The sequence below is a fragment of the Homo sapiens genome, chromosome 9 (genome assembly GCF_000001405.40).
Source record: "Homo sapiens chromosome 9, GRCh38.p14 Primary Assembly".
In the NCBI taxonomy this organism is placed as follows: Eukaryota; Metazoa; Chordata; class Mammalia; order Primates; family Hominidae; genus Homo; species Homo sapiens.
Genome location: NC_000009.12, coordinates 31,898,983 through 31,919,479, shown reverse-complemented (window position 1 = coordinate 31,919,479; position 20,497 = coordinate 31,898,983). Strand labels below are relative to the sequence as shown.

Here is a 20,497-nt window from a genome sequence, read left to right as displayed (position 1 = left end):
CTCAAAGAGAAAGAAGTTTAATCTACGTAAAAGTACCAATTTCAGAATTTTAGTGAGAAAATAAAATCTTTAACAGAGATGAGAAAAAGGCACATTTGTGGTCTCTTATTCCTGCTATGTAAAACTTCGTAGTAAACCAAAACTACTAAGGAAAGAATGCAATGAAATTCTGGAATGTACCTTTGACTAGCTCCAAATTTGTTAAATATAATTTTGTAGCTTACCACATTTGTGGTAAAAATGATCTATATTGTGTTTAAATAACTCTCTTAGAGAACGAACCATTTTACTTAGAGTTTTTATTGGGAATGCCTGCTAAATTTTATAAAATGATATTCAGCCATGTATAGATACAATTATAAATTATAAGATTTTTGTTAATATATTTACTTGATTCATATTATGATAATGAAGAAACTTACATAAGCCCTACATATTTTTATTTTGGATTATTACTAGGTTCACTTTCTAATATTTTATTAGGCAATTTTGTGTCTTTCTTTAAAAGTAGCTATGTTTTACTTTTTTATTGGTTGGTTTACAAGGTTCTGGCATCAGAATTATGCTGGCTTCATGAATAAAGTAAGGATCTTTTAGTCTCTCTGGCCAGGAATAATTTAAATATTGTGAAATTATCTGTTCTGTATTATCTGTTTTGTGAGCTTATTCAGTATTAGTGCTTTTTAAAGGGTAGATCTAAAAAATCTCATATCTCATAATTTTTGACATATCTATTAATATTTTTTCCATTTCTTCGTAGGTCAATTTTACTAAATTTTCCTACATTTTCAAATTTGTTTTCATAATATTGCATGCGATGTTTCTTATTATTAACTATTTTTTACATCGATAGTTTTGTTTCTTTTCTCAATCCTAATCTTGTTTTTTATCTCTCTTCTTTTTTTTTTTTTTTTTTGAGATGGAGTCTCAGTCTTGCTCTGTTGCCAGGCTGGAGTGCAGTGGTGCGATCTCGGCTCACTGTAACCTCCATCTCCCGGGTTCAAGCAATTCTCCTGCCTTAGCCTCCCGAGTAGCTGAGACTACAGGCATGTGCCACCACGCCTGGCTAATTTTTGTATATTTAGTAGAGACAGGGTTTCACCATGTTGGCCAGGATGGTCTCCATCTCTTGACATCGTGATCTGCCCACCTCGGGCTCCCAAAGTGACCTCTCTTCTTAATCAGTCTCAAGGTAACTTTTCTGTTTTACTGGTCTTTTCAGACTTTCATAGTTTGTTATTTCTACTATGTTGTTTTCCTTTCCATTTACTTCATGTTTACCATAATCTATTCTTTCTTCTAGGTTTCTTTTGGTTTATTTTATTGTTCTTTTTATTAACTTCTTAAAATAAGGTATGCATTTCTCTATATTTTTGTCTTTATTCTTTAGTATTTAAAGCTACACATTTCCTTTTAGTGTAGCTTATATATATATAGTTATATATATATAGTAATTTTTATATATAGTTATATATATAGTATTTTATATATATAGTTATATATATAGTATTTTAAATATATAGTTATATATATATAGTATTTTATATATATATAGTGACTGCCTCTAATCTATAAATATTGAAGGATGTTAATCTTTTTGGTCACATATTTATATTGTTGCTTTTTTTATTTGATATTAGAGTATATGATCTATGTAATCTCTACTTTTTAAATGTACAGCTTTCAAGCAAATGTATGATTTTTTCATAAATGGACATAAGATTGATTATATATATATGTACGTGTGTGTGCAGAGATTATATATATACATACATGCATATATTCGTGTATACATTTGCATATTATAATTTATCTACTGTTATTCACTTTCTCACCTTCCTTGCCTGATTTTGACCTTTAATCTTGAAATAATTTTATTAACTATATACTATAGTTTGCTTTTTCTCACCTCTCCTTACATTTTCAATATAATTTCTTTCCAAATATTTAGGATGTATATTGTGTTATAATTGCTATATCAACATGAATTGTGCCTATTATGATTGTAAAAGTCCCTCTTTACACTGCTTTTTACTTTTGAGCTTATATCTAAGATTTTCTGATGAAATATTGACATTTTTGCCTTTCTTAATTTTGCATTTGCCTGGTATCTCTTGGCTTTTCCCTTTATTTTCAACCGTTCTTTATCACTTGGTCTGAAGCAAGTTTCTTGTAACAGCACATTGCTCGATTTTGTTTTTTTAACCTAATTTGACAGCTTTTGTCTTTTTATAGAATATTCAGTAAGAGGATTCAGTTTTCAGAATGAACTAGAGCACAGAAGGGGGACTGCCTCTGCATATTTAAGTAGATTGTATTCCAAAGATATGAACATTGTTGAGGCAGGAGAACTAACTAGCTTCTTACATAGAAAGGTGTTTCTATAGGGAATGCTCCACAGAATTCCAATTAATTGTTTCACAGATTAAGAGAGTCACCAGGGTTCCCTTGTAACATTTCTCATCAAAGAGTGTTCTATAGGGAAGAGATAAAACCTAAACAGTCCCGGAAGCTGAGACAAGAAACTGAAAAAAAAAGGAAAGTGAGCAACAAGATAATGTAAGTCACAACTGAGCCAATTAAGGAGCAGGAGATGCAGCAGCATGTCCCAAACAAAACTGATTGGAGGTCAAGTGTGGACAACCAGAGCAAGTTCTTGCACAGCTAATGTATCCCCAGGTGTGAACTGAGTAACATGAAGAAAGGCATCCTCCTGCCACCTCCTGGTGAGTTAACAAGGCAGGAACACTGCAGGCTGCAAAAATAACAGGCAATGCCAAAGGCAGAGATGGATCCAGTTTTGTAGGGACTGAAGCTTAAGCTGTTATTGGGGGCGGGTTGCAGGGGTAGGGGGCTTCTTTAAGAATAAGAATACAAAATTAGGTACAAACTTGAATATTTACTGAGATAGGGAAAGCAATCACAACAAATGACGGGGTCCTTGGAGATTCAGATCTTTCCCTTCAGATCTCTTTGGACATGATTACATGGAAATGTTTCCTGATTATAGCCAAGTGTTCCTTCTCCATATAGAACACCTGACAACTCCCACCTCTGTCAGGGGTCTTTTAGGTGAGAAGCCACTTAAGTTTTTAAGACCAATTAGCCTCTAGGTAAATCTGCCTTTGGTCCAAATGTTGGCTTCTACGGGAATAAGGGTAAGAGACCCATCTGCTCAGTATAGAATAAAGCAGGCAGCCAGACCGGGAATATAGAAAGCAATCCTAAAAAAAAAAAAAAAGAGGGGGGGTGTTGCCAAAAGGATGTGGTAGAAAATCAGTTAACTCAGATTTACCCATCAAAAATGTCAGGTGATTTGAGGACTCTGGTGTCAATGCATAATTTCTGAATCTTTAGTTGGTTATGGCATACCTTATTGATCATTAGAGAAACAGTGAAACAAGCATTAACTCCTGAGAAAAATACACCGAAGAAGGAGATTTTAGGACCTGTGAAAGTTGGACTTTTGGCAGCATAACTTGCTTTCCCAAAAAAGATGGGGCTAGAGTCTATAAAGAGAGAGGAACTAAATTAAAGCTTGGCCAATGTGGTGAACTTATACTAGAGCATTCCTAAGCTCACTCAGTCAAATCTTTTTACCTTGTCATTAACTAAATATAAATCAATTATGAAAGTTCTGAAGGAGCTAGAGTGCAGTTCAAAGATTGCTGAACCCATATGAATGAACTAGTCACATTCTTTTTTTTTTTTTGAGATGGAGTTTCACTCTTGTTGCCCAGGCTGGAGTGCAATGGTGTGATCTTGGCTCACTGCAACCTCCGCCTCCCGGGTTCAAGCGATTCTCCTCTCTCAGCCTCCCGAGTCACTGGGATTACAGGCGCCTGCCACCATGCCCAGCTAATTTTGTATTTTTAGTAGAGACGGGGTTTCACCATGTTGGTCAGGCTGGTCTCGAACTCCTGACCTCAGGTGATCCACCCACCTCGGCCTCCCAAAGTGCTGGGTTTACAGGCACGAGCCACTGTGCCCGGCCTACTAGTCACATTCTTATGCAGTCACTGAGGCTAGTATAAAGAGCATGATCCATTTGGCGAATCAGATCAAGTTCTCTAAAGTCCAGTGTCACAGCACAAGATAATGTGAAGTCATTTAAAGGAAGTTATTAATTGAAATTCTTTGTTGCAGAATCAGTAGAAAAAGACAAAAGCTTTTGATGGGATTATGCTGGAGTCCATGTCATGGAACCAAACTGGAAATTTTCTGGTGAGGCATCTTCCCGAATCTTTAGGCTTTGCCAGGCTTTGCTTCTAAAAGACTACTACCCACCAATCCCTTCCCCAGGTAGCTGGAAAATTAGAGACCTTCACTTGCAGTGTGGCCTGGATTAGCTGGGGAATTGGGTGAGCCTGAGTCAGGTAATGTACTAGGAGTCAAACCTCATTTAAGGTAGTGGTAGAAATAATGTCAGCTAAGGCTGGGCGCGGTGCCTCACACCTATTATCCCAGCAGTTTGGGAGGCCAAGGCGGGCGGATTGTTCGAGACCAGCCTGGCTAACATGATGAAACCTCATCTCTATTAAAAATACAAAAAAATTAGCTGGACATGGTGGTGGGCACCTGTAATCCCAGCTACTGGGGAGGCCAAGGCAGGGGGAATCGCTTGAAGCTGGGAGGCGGAGGTTGCAAAGAAAGAAAAAGAAATAATATCAGCTGAATTAGCAAAACTCAGAGTTAGGCTCACTGACCTAAGAACAAATCATGTGTATCTGCCATGAGTCTCTTACGTGTATTCACAGTGTTTTCTATGCATTCTCAGTCTTTGTAAATACAGGCTCTTCTTCCATTCCTGATTTACAGCTGATTCTCTGCTAGGGACTCAAACTTTACTTGACAACCCATTGAACATGCCAAAACCCTCGTTCTAGAGAATGGGCCCAATGTGTCTCAGTTTTATTTGTCTCCTGCCCCATACTAATGGACTTTATTTCCTAAAGAGACTCCTAGATCTATAACTTCTTGAAAGAAGAGTTTCTGAATTTTGCAAATGTCTGTTAACCCCTGTTATTGTGCCAGCTATATTCCTTCCCATTGGCAGCATCAAATAAATTTTTTTTTTATAACTGAGGTTACATGGTTACTTGTACAGAACCCTGGACTCTGAACAGGTTACTTATACAGAACCTTGGACTCTGAAGTCTGAGAAGTATAAATCATTCAATTTTTGTGTGTAGATTTTTGAGGAGATAAATCATTAAATCAGTTTTTGTGCCAGTTGATATTTGTTATAAACTTTCCTGTGTGAGAATCGAACATTAACAAAATTTGCCTTTGGTGTAACATTTACCTGGGGAGGAATATTTTTTAAACGTTAAGGAGAAACTCCGTCTTAAAATATTATTCACTATATACATTTTATTGAAAAAAGCATCTGCTATTAAGATATAGTTATGGCATGTTTAATTGGCGAATTTCTGTAATTTTTATGTTTTATTTATGTGGCCTAGCTACCAGATCATGGTTATAGAGAATATTTGGGGTATAGATTAGTCACTACATTTGTGAAGGTTTAGGAAGTATTTACTGAAATGAAAGACATAACCCTAGATGTTTTAAATGAATATTAAGAGCTCAATCTAAATATAGGAAAGTTGAACATTTGTCAAAAAGATTAATGGTGGAGCATAAAACCGTACTCAACTCTAACTGTAATTGTCAGGCAAACTGTAAATTCTATTGTTAATTGTGTAATAAATATAATTTATTGAATGTTTACTATGTTTCAGGCATGATTTTAGGCGTTTTGCATGAACTCTAATTCATTGAAATGTAACAACCTTATAAGGTAGGGACTATTATTACATCTTCCAATTATAATGTTTTAAAATAAAAAAATTGATAAGTATATTACAAAGCCTATTTAGTTTTAATTATATATTGAATCACAATGGGAAACTACTGTTTAAGGTTGTGCCTTTCAATATTATTTAAGATAGAAATAAAATTATAACTGATTATTTTTTATAGTCATTGCTATGAAATCCCATCAAGCCTCTTATAGAATTGACATACAGAATTTGATGTATTTCTCTGTGGTTATTTTTGTTGTAATCACCATAAACTATGAAATTAGAAAGGCCTGGGCACGTCCAAAATAAAATAAATCGACAATTTTTAAAAGTTTGACATGTCTTAAATTGTGTCATTTTGCTTGGAAATTTATTTTAACAATATTAAGGAACGTCTGGAATAGAATGTGCATAGAAAAGTGTTGATCAAAATTCATAAATGCTCAGGCACCACTGATGTCAAACACATAGCACTGTTTTAAAATAACAAGGTGAGTACAAAGTCTAATACTCCTTTATGCCCAATGGATACACAAGAAAGAAAAAAACATCTCCAAGCCAAACTTGAATACCAGTATTCACAAATTCAAAGACCACTATATCTAAGCTCTGATTGTAAAAACATTTTTAAAGAACATTTTCTCCTCCACTAATTATGTCAATTGCTTCCCTAGCAATTTACATTCATGAATCTTGGTTTCCAAGGCATTTTATAATGACATCATAAATGAATGAACAGAGGCTTTTCAGCCTTCCCTTTATGTGAAAATGGTTAAGGGCACCTTTTAAGTGTTCCCATTGTTCTATCACTGTGTACTTCCTCTGAGAATAATTGCATTACTTTGCCTACTGCAGGATATCCTTGAAAATAAAAACCAAGGTTTTATCTCAGTGGTAAATGTTCTGAAAACCTGAGACAATCATTGCTGTACTTGCTAATTCCCTTGCTGAAGCCCATGACCTTCACTGTCATCAATCTGGGAGAACAGCTTTCAAACAGTACCATTTTGGTGACTGAAAGTAAAATGTTTCTTCAAACCACCACAAGTCACATAACAACTCTATTTACATGTTAACAGAATAGCAGAACAGTTAACCAGAAGTTGCCATTAAGGTCTCTCAGACTGTTTGCATTACTTGAGGTGGTATATGTTTCCTAAAATAGCTAAATGCATTAATAATGCCCTATTTCAGTCTCACCTAATCCACGTATATATTATGACTATTGGAGTGTTACATATCAGTTCCTCTCCCTTTTTATTCCGTTCTTGCCTGGTCGAGATTCTCTCAGGGCCAGGTCATTCTTCTTATGGAATAAGGTAGAAGATATTGGATGTAATATAAATTACCCCTCTTAGACTATAAATTACTTGGGCTGGGCCCCTGCCAAGGTTCTTATTCAAATAAAGTCCAGTGGGTCAGGTTGAGTACTGACGTATCCTTCAAACAAAAAGGATATGCAAATTTCAGCAATCTTCTCTGTAGACATAATTTATTTCTTTTTATCAATTACAACAGGTCCCTGCAGGACCATGTCACCCAAAATAATGCATCAGATATAAGGACTTGTCTTTTACTCATTTACTTCTTGGACCTACTTAGAAAACTGTGGCAGCACTGTTTTGTTATTATTGTCTTAAGTGCATGATCCAACTTGGAAAGGTAAATTTTAACACTAAGGATCAAGGCATTTTTTGGCTTTAATCAGCTCTTAGTGATCTCTAATTTATTTAAGTAAAACAATACATTAAACTTCTATTTTAAAAATTAAAAATCTTGTTTCTCACCTCTTTCTCCTAGGAATACACTAAATGCTATTACAGGAATGACAATAAAGTTTTAAGTTCACATCTTAGTCTTTTTTCTGTTGCTATAACAGAATATCACAGACAGGATAATTTATGAGGAAAAGAAATGTATTTCTTATAGTTCTGGATGCTGGGTAGTCCAATGGTTCTGGATGCTGGGTAGTCTGGATGCTGGGTCCACATCTGGTGAGGACCTCTTGCTGGTGGAACACTGCAGAGACCCCATGTGACACAGGGCATCACATGGTGAGGGGACTCCCAAGACATGGCAAAACTGGCCTTTTATAACAGTCTCACTCTTGTGATAATTAACCCATTCCCCCTTAGTAACCCATTAATTCATTAATCCATTCATTTGTGAATGGATTTATCTGTTCATGAGGGCTCTGCCTTCCAAAGGTCCCACCTCTCAGCACTGCTGCAATGGGGATCAAGTTTTCAGCACATGAACTTTTGGGGGACATGTTCAAACCATAGAAATCCATATAGACAAATATAGAAAATAAGATTGCAGCATAAAAACTTTTATTTGGGAGAAGTGGGTACATGGGGAGATATAACTGACTTATCAAGGTAAAGAGAGCCCAACCTGAAGTGCCTCCTGACAAGAGTACTATTGACAAGCGGGCAAATTCATTGATGGATATTGTGCCTAGGACTTGGAGACACAAGGTACTCAAGTTGGCAATAATTAAACAGAAGAATTGCTAGAAAACAATATATAAAGCAGACAGAGTCCCTGAACTCTCTCTTACTTTAAAAGGCCAAGTTGTTAACTCTTCTTTATCCATGTCCCACTCCTGGGCAGGGGATCAAATGTTTACTCTCTGGAGAAACTGACCTAAAGAAAGTCTGGACAAACAACATTAAAAAAAGGCAGGAATAAAGGCCAGTGTCTGAAAACAGAGGGGATATTTGCATGGGAGAATTCCAGCGGACTGTGACAGTCTAGGATGTCTTCACACTGAATGCTGGTGTGTTGAGAGTCACTCTCCCACCCAGCTCCCAGAAGATCAGCATATTTTACCACCACTCCACTTCCACGCTTGAAAAGAAGAATGAAAGATTTAAAATATTTTCACATATTTATATTTTGGAGTTCCCCCAATGAACTGTCAACTCATTTTCTAATTACCCTATAATGAAATTTTGTCCACTAACACAAAATTCCTAGTTAGTAAATTTTAGTAAATAAGAAGTAGAAAATCAAGAAACCAGAAATCTGAGGAAAGCTGTCCAAAAAAAGAGTCAAAGCAAATAGAACAAGGGATATCATATTTGAAAATCTCAAACTATAACCTTCTAATTGAAATCATTAGCGAGACAAAGCTAAATCACATACATAAAGGGAAAATGAATGCTATGACAAATAAATAATCAGAAAAGAGTAAAGAATTTTGAAAATGGAAATATAAAGGCCAAACTAATTTAAAAAAATAAATAGTAGAGTTTTGGGTTTAAATAAGGTTGAATAAGCACGTTATCCCTCCTCTCCCAAGAAATACAAATAGAAGCCTAGATCGAATGCAGTAGATAGCAATCTGAGGACTCTCAACAGTAAATTGTAGCAGGTAGATTGGGTAAGAAAATTAGAATTGAAAATACTAAAAACTCAAGTGGTACATTTTCTGTTTTCATTTTGTTTTGTTTTGTTTTGTTTTATTCTATATAATACAGTCTCAAGTGCAGTCAAATCCTAAAACTATATACTAAGCATGGACAGAAATACCTCCAAAAGAATATCTGTCTCTCTCTTTTTATTTTTTTCACCAGAGAAGCAGGAATGGGAACCTTTATGGGACAGAGACAGTATCCTCAGGTTTTTGTTTCATTTTATTTTTCTGTTCTACCCAGGTTCCAGGTGTGTCTTAGTTTTGAAGCTTCACAGCAGCTGAGTAGTAGTGTGTGGTGAGCATAACAAATACCTAAAACTTTCAGGAAGGTGAATCCTTCTCTCTGACCGTGGGAACTATGGTCTGAAGATGAATGCCAATCGCAAGATAATTCAAATATTGAAATTATGAAACAATGACTTCCAAATCAGCTATGATAATGTGATCTACAAGCTAAGGTCTAATATCCTCAAAACAAATGGAAAGACAGAACATCTTAGCAGGGAAATAAAAGGTATAAATGAAAATAATGGAAATTTAGAACTTCAAAACACAATATCCAAAATCTGAATTATACTTGATTGCCACAGTTTGTCACAGTTACTATGGGACTGAATGAAGGGGGACGAACGCAGAAATGAAAACTTAAAACAAAAGTAACTATTTTAAAGAAAAGGGCCAGGGGAAGAAGAGGGCTCCCTGTTTCTAGTGAGCAAAGGCAGAAGTCCTGAGCTTCTGCAGCCCTTCATATTTATTGGGTAGAAAGAGCAGGGAGGAAGAGGTAACAATTGGTCAGCTGCTTAATTGATCACAGGTTCACCTTATTGCTAACAGGCTTCAGATGTGCCTAATCACAAGAAACACTGCGCTTGGGGCGTGACTGCCCTCAGCATTTCTTCTGGGCAGCAGACGCAGTTTGTCAATTTGCCAACATCCTGCTTTTATGAGAACAGTTTGCTGTTTACTCATATAGCCTCCAGTGGTATACTGAGTTGATCACGACTCTCATTCTCTCAGCCTGCAACATCTCTCCCTTTTTGTTTTTGCATTAATTAAATAAGATCTGTCCCTATGTCATGGGGGTTGATGTCAGTGTGATTCTGGTTGGTTCTTGTTCCGTCTTTGCATTCAGATTCAACTGGCTCATGGTTTGTACCGGGGGAACCAAGCCCATGGTTGGGATCCAGGGGTCCCTCCAGTCTCCTGTTCCATGGTCGCACACACCTTGAGGGCACCCACACGGTTTGATCGTCTCCTTATATTGCTGCTGGCAGACTCGTGACGGGGTTTCTCATTCATCTGGTAAGTTTCAGTTTCTCTGCTCCAGCAGACCTTCCTCATTCAAGTCCCAAAAGACCCTATCTGTCCCTGTCTGTCCCTGCAAGTTTCTGCTAGTCTCTACTAGTCTCTGTTAGTCTCTGCTAGTCTCTATCTATCCCTATAGTCCCTGTTTGGGTTCCACTTGCCGCAGTTTGCCACGGTTACTACGGGACTGACTGAAGGGAGACGAAAGCAGAAATGAAAACTTAAAACAAAAGTAACTATTTTAAAGGAAGGGGCCAGGGGAAGCAGAAGAGGGCTCCCTGCTTCTAGTGAGCAAAGGCAGCAGTCCTGAGCTTCTACAGCTCTTTGTATTTATTGGGTAGAAAGAGCAGGGAGGAGGAGGTAATGATTGGCCAGCTGCTTAACTGATCACAGGTTCACATTATTGCTAATAGGCTTCAGATGTGCCTAACCACAAGAAACACTGTGCTTGGGGTGTGACTGCCCTCAGCATTCCTTCTGGGCATCAGAAGCAGTTTGTCAGTTTGCCAACATCCTGCTTTTATGAGAACAGTTTGCTGTTTACTCATATAGCCTCCAGTGGTATACTGAGTTGATCACGACTCTCTCTCTCAGCCTGCAATGATCACGACTCTCTCTCTCTCAGCCTACAACACCTGATGGACTCAATAGCAGAATGAGAGTGAGATGACTGAAAGAGGAATCAGTGAACTTGAACCTAGATCAACAGAAACTATCCAATTTGAATAAGAGACAAAAGCATTGAAAAAAATGAACAACAGCTCTCCCTAGGGTATTGTGGTAAAATGCCAAAAGGTCTAATCTTTATGTCATCAGAGTCCCAGAAGAACATAAGAAAGGAAGGGTAATTTGGAAAAAAAATTATATATATGTTATAAATATATAAATATATATAAATATATATAAATACACACACACACACACACACATATGAGTAAGCAGATTGAATCAGTAATAAAAATTTGCCTATCAAGGAAAAGCTCAGGGCTGGATGGACTCACAAGTGAATTCTACCAAACATTTAAAGAAGAGTAGATACCAATTCTTCTCAAACTCTTCCAAAAAGTTAAATAGGGAATATTTTCATACATATTTTATGAGGCCAGTATTACCCCAATACCAAAACCAGATCAGGACACTATAAGGAAAAACAAACAAACAAACTATAGGCCAATATTCCTGATGAACATTGATGCCCAATCCTCAGAAAAATACTAGCAAACCAAACTTAGCAACATATTTAAAGAATCATTCGCCATAATCAAGTGGGATTGATCCCTGGGATGCAAGGGTGCTTTAACACACATAAATCAATAAATGTGATACATCACATTAACAGAATATAAGACAAAACCATATTATCTCAATAAACACAAAAAAAGCATTTGACAAAACTCAATATCCTTTCATGATAGACACTCTCTGATTAGGTATAAAAGGAATATACCTTAGCACAATAAAGGCCCTATATGGCAAACCCACAGCTAGCATCATACTTAATGATGAATAGTTGAAAGCTATTTTTCTAAGTCCAGGAAAAGACATCTTAATAGGAAAGGAAGAAATGAAATTGTTTTGTTAATGACATGATTTTATATATAGAAAACCCTAAAACAAGCTTGTCCAACCTGTTGCCCGCAGGCTGCATGAGGCCCAGGATGGCTTTGAATGTGGCATAACACAAATTGGTAAACTTTCTTAAAACATTATGAGATATTTTTGGCAATTTTTGTTTTTTAGCTCGTCAAATATCACTATAATTCATAACTGGGGACTTTTTTTTCTCAATTCTAGCCCATAATGGATACCAAGATATGAGGCATAAAGTTCTCTAACAATTCATATTCAACTTATTCATAGTACTTTGGTTTGCAAGACAAACGTGAAACTTGAGCCAACTTGGAGTGCCATTGGCTGAACAGTAATTGGTCTCAAGTCAAGAGTTGAAAGTTTAGCCAATTACTTCAAGTTAAGGTTGATTAAGTTTCCTGCCAATCATGTAATAATTCTGGGACTGCTATCATGATTCTAGATACTGAGTAAATAGACTAATCTGTTTAAACCTTTTTCAACTATTAAGTTTGGGCAAGATGGGTATACACTTACATACATAGGTTTATGTGTGTTCAGTAAGTGAATATGCAGAGAAATAAAATTTCATTCAAGAGAAACACTCATTTTTATGTTACCAATGTAGGAGGTGGCATAATATTTTTTAAGTATTTATAGTGGAATGGATATGCCTTGAAAACTGCCTCTGCCACCTTACCAACTGTGATATTTTACATAACTATTTAATTTCTCAAACTTCTGTTTTCTAATTTGTAAAATTTTAAGGGGTTATTTTGAAGAGGAATAGCATAAACAAGGAAGGCACATGTGATGCATGCCTTGACATTTTTCTTTCAGGTTCTTCCATGTAGTAGGAAAGAGTATTAGTCTGTTTGCATTGCTATAAACGAATACCTGAGGCACAGTAATTTATAAAGAGGTTTGGCCAGGCTTAGTGGGTCACACTCATAATCTCAGCACTTCAGGAGGTCTTGGTGGGAGGATCGCTTGGGGACAGAAGTTAAAGAATAGACTGGGTTAGTAGACACTCTTTCTACAAAAAAAGAAAAAAAATTATCTGGATGTGGAGGGTCGCTCCTGTAGTCCCATCCACTCAACAGGCTGAAGTGGGAGAATGACTTGAGCCTGGGTGGTTGAGGCTGCAGTGAGCTGTGATGACACTGCTGTACTCCAGCCTGGGTCTTTATCTCAAAAACAACAATGACAAACAAACAACAACAACAAAGACATTTATTTGGTTCACAAATCTCCAGGGTGTACAAGAAGCATGGTGCCAGCATCTGCTCAGCTTCTGATGAGGGCTCTGGGAAGCTTTTACTCATGGAGGAAGGCAAGGGGAACCAGCATGTCACATGATGAGAAAGGAAGCATGAGAGAGAGGTGCCAGACTCTTCAACAACCAGGTATCATGTGAACCAACAGAGTGGGAACTCACTCATTACCAGGAGGAGGGCACCAAGCCATTCATGAGCGATCTTCCCTGCTGACCCAAACACCATCCCACCAGACCCCACCTCCAACATTTAGGAACATATCCCAACATGAGATTTGGAGGGGACAAACAGCCAAACTGTATCAGAAAGTTGGCTGTCAGTGGTTCTGACCTCACTAAATTAGGACTCTTTGATCAGAGGAGGATAAGGGGTTTTTTATTCTCTTTCTTGACCTCTCATACTTACTGAGAACATTCTAATTTTTTTGATCTCCTTAATTATGTGTGGAAGAGTAAGGTCCAGAGCCCAAGATTTGATCTCTAATTCTACTCAGTGTTCTCTCTGACACTTAAATCGATACTTTAACTAGTTTTATTTATTTATTTAGAGACAGAGTCTTGCACTGTTGCCCTGGCTGGAGTGCAGTGGTGCAATCTCGGCTCACTGCAACCTCTGCCTCCCAGGTTCAAGTGATTCTCCTGCTTCAGCCTCCCAAGTAGCTGGGATTACAGGCGTCCACCACCACACCCAGCTAATTTTTTTCTATTTTTTAGTAGAGACAAATTTCACTATGTTGGTCAAGCTGGTCTCAAACTCCTGACCTCGTGATCCGCCCACCTTGGCCTCCCAAAGTTCTAGGATTACAGGTGTGAGCCACTGTGCCTGGCCACTTTAACTAGTTTTAAAACAATTGTTACTTTAGCACAAATTCTACCTATCATAGAAATAAGGATGCAGTTTATAGGGAGTGTCTACGTTATTTTTCCTCCTTGTTTTCATGGTATTTCATGTTTTCCTTGCTCAGACCAGACTCATGCAATCGTTAGCTCTCAACTCATAAGTGAACACCTGTTACTGGATTTAATTAAAGTGACTATACACAGCTGTTTTATGTATTTTTCAGAATTTCTGATGTCACTCTGTGGGTGTTCCTTATTGATTTAGCTGATCCATCAGTTGGCTTTGAGGCCTGGACTTTTAAGATGCCAGTTCTGGATTTCCCAGATCTTTCATGGACTGTGTAGATAGTGAATATTTTCATGAATAATATTAAGATGTAGTATGTACATAAAAATTAGCACAGAACAAGCTCAGCTTCTTCGGAAATAGCACGATAAACTAACAACATTTATTGAGGGTCTGGTAGACAGAGTTCTAAAATGTTCCTATAAGGTTTCCCAACTTAATACCCGGTACTGTGAAAATGACGAGAAATATCTTTATCCACTCGTTGACTGACGGGCATTTGGGCTGGTTTCATAGTTTTCCGACTGTGAATTGTGCTGCTATAAACATGCATGTAGAAGTATTTTTTTCGTATAATGGCTTCTTTTCCTCTGGGTAGATACCCAATAGTGGGGTTGCTGGATCAATGGTAGTTCTACTTTTACTTCTTTAAGGAATCTCTTCACACTGTTTTTCATAGTGGTTGTACTAGTTTACATTCCCACCAGCAGTGTAGAAGTGTTGCCTGTTCACCACATCCATGCCAACATCTATTATTTTTTGATATTTTGATTAGAGACATTCTTGCAGTAGTAAGGTGGCTTTGATTTGCATTTTCCCGATTATTAGTGATGCTGAGCATTTTTTCATATTTTTGTTGGTCATTTGTATATCTTCTTTTGAGAACCGTCTATTCATGTCCTCAGCCCACTTTTTGATGGGATTGTTTGTCATTTTTTTCTTGCTAATTTGTTTGAGTTTCTTCTAGATTTTGGATATTAGTCCTTTGTCAGATGTATAGCTTGTGAAAATTTTCTCCCACTCTGTAGGTTGCCTGTTTACTCTGCTGACTGTTCCTTTTGTTGTGCAGAAGCTCTTTAGTCTAATTAAGTCCCACTTATTTATCTTTGTTTTTGTTGCATTTGCTTTTGGGTTCTTGGTCATAAAGTCTTTGCCTAAGCCAATGTCTAGAAGGGCTTTTCTGATGTTATCTTCTAGAATTTTTATAATTTCAGGTCTTAGATTTAAGTCCTTGATCTATCTTAAGTTGATATTTGTGTAAGGTGAGAGATGAGGATCCAGTTTAATTCTCCCACAGTGGCTTGCCAATTATCCCCAAAATTGTCATGTGTATATATATATGACAAAATACTAGTCAGTCATAAAAAGGAATGAGTTAGTAACACTCACAGCCACCTGGATGAAATTGAGCACTATGATTCTAAGTCAAGTAACTTAGGAATGGAAAACCAAACATTGTGTGTTCTCACTCATAAGTGGGAGCATAGCTATGAGGATGCAAAGGTATAAGAATGATACAATGGACTTTGGGGTCTCAGCAGAAAGGGTGAGAGGGGGGTGATGGACAAAATACTACAAATTGGGTTCAGTGTATACTGCTCAGGTGATGGGTGCACTAAAATCTCACAAATCACCATAAAAGAACTTACTCATGTAACCAAATACCTGTTCCCTGAAAACCTATGGAAATAAAAAATAAAATAAAATAAAATAAAATAAAATTAATAAAAGCAAGCATTGTGCCAAAAAAGGGAATATGATGAGAAATCACAAGTGTTATTATGCTACCTTTCATGGCGAAAGGGATTTGGCAAATATATTAACGTTACAAATCAGTTTACTTTGAGTTAATTAAAAAGGAGATTATCAGGGCGAGCTTAATCTAATTACATAAGCCATTTAATACCATAATATATATCTTTTTCTCTCTGGTGGAAGAAGAGAAAGTCAGAGAGAATCAAAGCATGTGAAGAGAGACCTCACGCAAGGAGGTCTAGGAGCCTAGAGTGATCTTCAGCCAACAGTCAAAAAGATAACTGGGACAACCACAAGGAACTGACTTCTATAAGAGAAATGAGCCTGGAAAAGGACTCCAAGCTTCAGATGAAAATGTAGTTGGCTGACACTTTGATTTTAGTCTTGTGAAACCCTAAGCAGAGAATCCAAGTAAGTCCCCCTGAACTTCTCACCTAAAGAACAATGAGTTAATAAATAAGGGGTATGATAAGTCATGAAATATGTGGTAATTTATTACAAAACAATATATAATGATACAGATACCTATCTGGTAGCCAGATATTATCCTAAGTATTTTCCACAAGACATTTAATTTGATTTAATTAACACGCAACTCCATAAGAGACAGATCCTTTTAACTATTTTGCAGGTGGTAAACTGAGGCTCAAGTAATTTATGTGATTTGTCTAAGGTCCCATAGGCTATAAGTGTCAGAGCCCAGATTGAGAAGTGTTTGGCTGTTCATGCAAGTGCAAGCAGCTTTCATTAAACTATTCGCAGAAGTCTGTCAGAATAGCTAGCAAGGATACCAACTATCTAGGGAAAGTCACACCAAAGGAGTGACCCAAAGAAACACATTTTAACCTGAACTGCCTGGTAATACACTGAAGGCAAATCAGCCCCAAAGACTAAAATTGTTAATTTTCTGTGATTCCTCGCTGTTTTATTTAATATAATATGACCTTAACCTAGTCTTGATATTTGATTTCTGAACAATGAGTCAAGAGAGTTGCCTTCTCTATGTAGTAGTACTTTACTGTTGTCAAAGACTTGTCCTTTGGTGCTTCATATTTTGCTTTACCTACATGGAACATTGCTAATTTAGGTGATAGCCTAACTATTTATAGTTAAATACACCCACCAAGTTCCCTTTACCCTTCAAATTAACTAAAAAGAAACAACTTCCTACTTCTTACACCACATAAAATTCATATTTTGCTTTAAATGTAATTTTTCAGCAAAGAGCCTAGTGGAGTTCACTTAAAACTAACCAAATCAGCTGTTAAAATTGTCCATTTGATCACATGGGTTATAGGCATAGTTATTTGACTGAGTTATGACAATGCTCAGAAACAGAAAAGACAGTCAAAGGTTATCATGTAAGTTCAATAAAAATTCAACAGTTGTTTTTAAAGATTTTCATATGATAATATTGTTTCACTTTCTATTACCCATATTTGATTTCATTTACAAATAAAATACTACCCACTCTATGAATCATGCTTTTATCTCAAATATATCTAGAGTGAATCTCTATGATTTTTAGAATACAGAAATATACATTTTAAAAAGATTTTAACATTTATTGTAAATAATTTAAGACAACTTTTAGATATATCACGTGAGTGTTTAACTCAATTTTCATGACCCAGCTGGCCCAAATTAGTCTTTTTTATAAATTGTTTTTTGAGTTGAAATTATTCTTTCACACCTAAAGAACTCTATCTGATGCTCTAGAGAGAAATATTCAATTGAACTTCACAATGTAGAACATTTCCTGCATTCTCCATTGTAGACTGTGATGAATAAATCAATATGTGCTTACTAAAAACAAATGATACAATTTAAGGAAATATATTATTTTGAGTCCTGATTCAAAGAAAATAACCAAATATTTAAAATTTATTTAAAATTTGTACTGTTTATTTATATAATTATAACATCTTCAAAATCAATAATGATTTTCTTCATTTAGTATTTAAACATAACTATTTTCTCATAGTACTAGAGTCGCCATAAGCATCACTCTATGGCTATATAATTTCTGACATGTGCTTTTATTGGAATTCATTAATAATTTCATTATTTTTAGGTATTTAGATCATGGCCCACTTTCCCCTACAACCACGATACCTGTTTAAATTGACAAATCATAGTTGTATGGATTTACGGGGCAAAATGTGATGTTTTGATATACGTATATGATACAGTTTGATTAAATCAAGCTGCTTTAACATATCCATCATCCTGCTTACCTATCATTTTTAATAATGAGATATTTGAAATGTATTCTCTTAGTTATTTTCAAATACATAATACATTATTATTGACTGTAGTCATCCTGGTGTGCAATGAATCTCAAGATGAATATTTCCATGAACATTAAAAAAAATTCTTCCATTTTGAAATGTCACTTTTCATTAATTGTGACTCTGATACTTCTCCGCTTGACATCTCCACTTATGCAATAAAAAAATTCATTGTACACTTTATCTTCTAGGGACTTGACACGTGCAAGCCCTTCACTTTCATTTTTTTCTAAGCCAGCTTTCTCCATCCCCTCATATCAATGCCTCAGCATCCAGTGATTAAATCCCAGCATTTCTATCACAGTTTATCTCCATCACAATATTTCCTGTTTTGCAGTATAACTGGTGATTAACTTTAATTACAATCATGACTACTCTATAGCAGAGGCCAAAATGATGATTACACATCATGTTTCATAATATTTTTCAGTTAGATGAAGCTTCAGTGCAGCTACCCTGCTAAAATAACTAATTTGCATATCATTATATAGAGTTCAAATGAACTTATTTTATCCACTCCCACCCATTAGTCATCTTATTGCAGTTTAGAAAATATATTGACTCTGGACCATGAGTCTGTAGGTGAAGGTAACAGTTATAATGATGAAAAAAAATTTTCTCAGGTCATTCTGTATTTTTCCTGATTTAATTGATTATATCACTCATAGGCCATCAAGGCACCACTAGAAACTTTTCTATTAAACATAGTACTGGAAGTTCCAGCCAGGGCAATCAGTCAAGAGAAAGAAATAAAGGGTATTCAAATAGGAAGAGAGGAAGTCAAATTGTCTCTGTTTGCAGATGACGTGATTGTATATTTAGAAAACCCCATCGTCTCAGTCCAATATCTCCTTAAGCTGATAAGCAACTTCAGAAAAGTCTCAGGATACAAAATCAATGTGCAAAAATCACAAGCATTCCTATACACCAATAACAGACAAACAGAGAGCCAAATCATGAGTGAACTCCCAATCACAATTGCTACTAAGAGAATGAAATACCTAGGAATACAACTTACGAGGGATGTGAAGGACCTCTTCAAGGAGAACTACAAATCACTGCTCAAGGAAATAAGAGAGGACACAAACAAATGGAAAAACATTCCATGCTCATGTACAGGAAGAATCAATATCGTGAAAATGGCCATACTGCCCAAAGTAATTTATAGATTCAATGCCATCCCCATCAAGCTACCACTGACTTTCTTCACAGAATTGGAAAAAACTACTTTAAACTTCATATGGAACCAAAAAAGAGCCTGCATAACCAAGACAATCCTGGGCAAGAAGAACAAAGCTGGAGGCATTATGCTACCTGACTTCAAATCAAACTATGCAAGTCTACAGTAACCAAAACAGCATGGTACTGGTACCAAAACAGATATATAGACCAATGGAACAGAACAGAAACCTCAGAAATCACACCCACATCTACAACCATCTGATCTTTGACAAACCTGACACAAACAAGCAATGGGGAAAAGATTCTCTATTTAATAAGCATTGTTGGGAAAACTGGCTAGCCATATGCAGAAAACTGAAACTGGACCCCGTCCTTACACCTTATACAAAAATCAACTCAAGGTGGATCAAAGACTTAAATGTAAGACCTAGGACCATAAAAATCCTAGAAAAAAACTTGGGCAATACCATTCAGGACACAGGCATGGGCAAAGACTTCATGTCTAAAACACCAAAAGCAATGACAACAAAAGCCAAAATTGACAAATGGGATCTAATTAAACCAAAAAGCTTCTGCACAGCAAAAGAAATTATCATCAGAGTGAACAGGCAACCTACAGAATGGGAGAAAATTTTTGCAATATATTCATTTGACAAAGGGCTAATATCCAGAATCCACATAGAACTTAAACAAATTTATAAGAAAAAACCAAACAACCCCATCAAAAAGTGGGCAAAGGATATGAACAGACACTTCTCAAAAGAAGACATTTATGCAGCCAACAGACATATGAAAAAATGCTCATCATCACTGGTCATTAGAGAAATGCAAATCAAAACCACAATGAGATACCATCTCATGCCAGTTAGAATGATGATCATTCAAAAGTCAGGAAACAACAGATGCTGGAGAGGATGTGGAGAAATAGGAATGCTTTTACACGGTTGGTGAGAGTGTAAATTAGTTTAACCATTGTGGAAGACA

General features: G+C 36.3%; 2 long non-coding RNA genes across 9 annotated transcripts in view; one reads left to right on the top strand and one right to left on the bottom strand.

The window, feature by feature from the left end:
* The window catches only part of LOC124902137 (uncharacterized), a 137,318-nt gene that overhangs the window by 66,499 nt on the left and 50,322 nt on the right, over positions 1–20,497 (bottom strand). The window lies entirely within an intron of this gene.
* The window catches only part of LOC105376011 (uncharacterized), a 36,289-nt gene continuing 16,933 nt past the window's right edge, over positions 1,142–20,497 (top strand). Inside the window, exons 1-9 of one of the 8 annotated variants that reach the window (XR_001746643.1) lie at positions 1,142–1,353; positions 2,482–2,726; positions 4,147–4,224; positions 5,745–5,803; positions 7,326–7,469; positions 9,470–9,742; positions 10,361–10,530; positions 13,359–13,508; positions 16,224–19,100. This is a non-coding gene — a long non-coding RNA (uncharacterized LOC105376011). Of the gene's footprint in view, positions 1,354–1,545; positions 2,727–4,146; positions 4,225–5,744; positions 5,804–7,325; positions 7,470–9,469; positions 9,743–10,360; positions 10,531–13,358; positions 13,509–16,223; positions 19,101–20,497 lie in introns of those variants that run through there. The other 7 variants (XR_929543.3, XR_929542.2, XR_929547.2 and 4 more) reach the window with 7 other exon arrangements.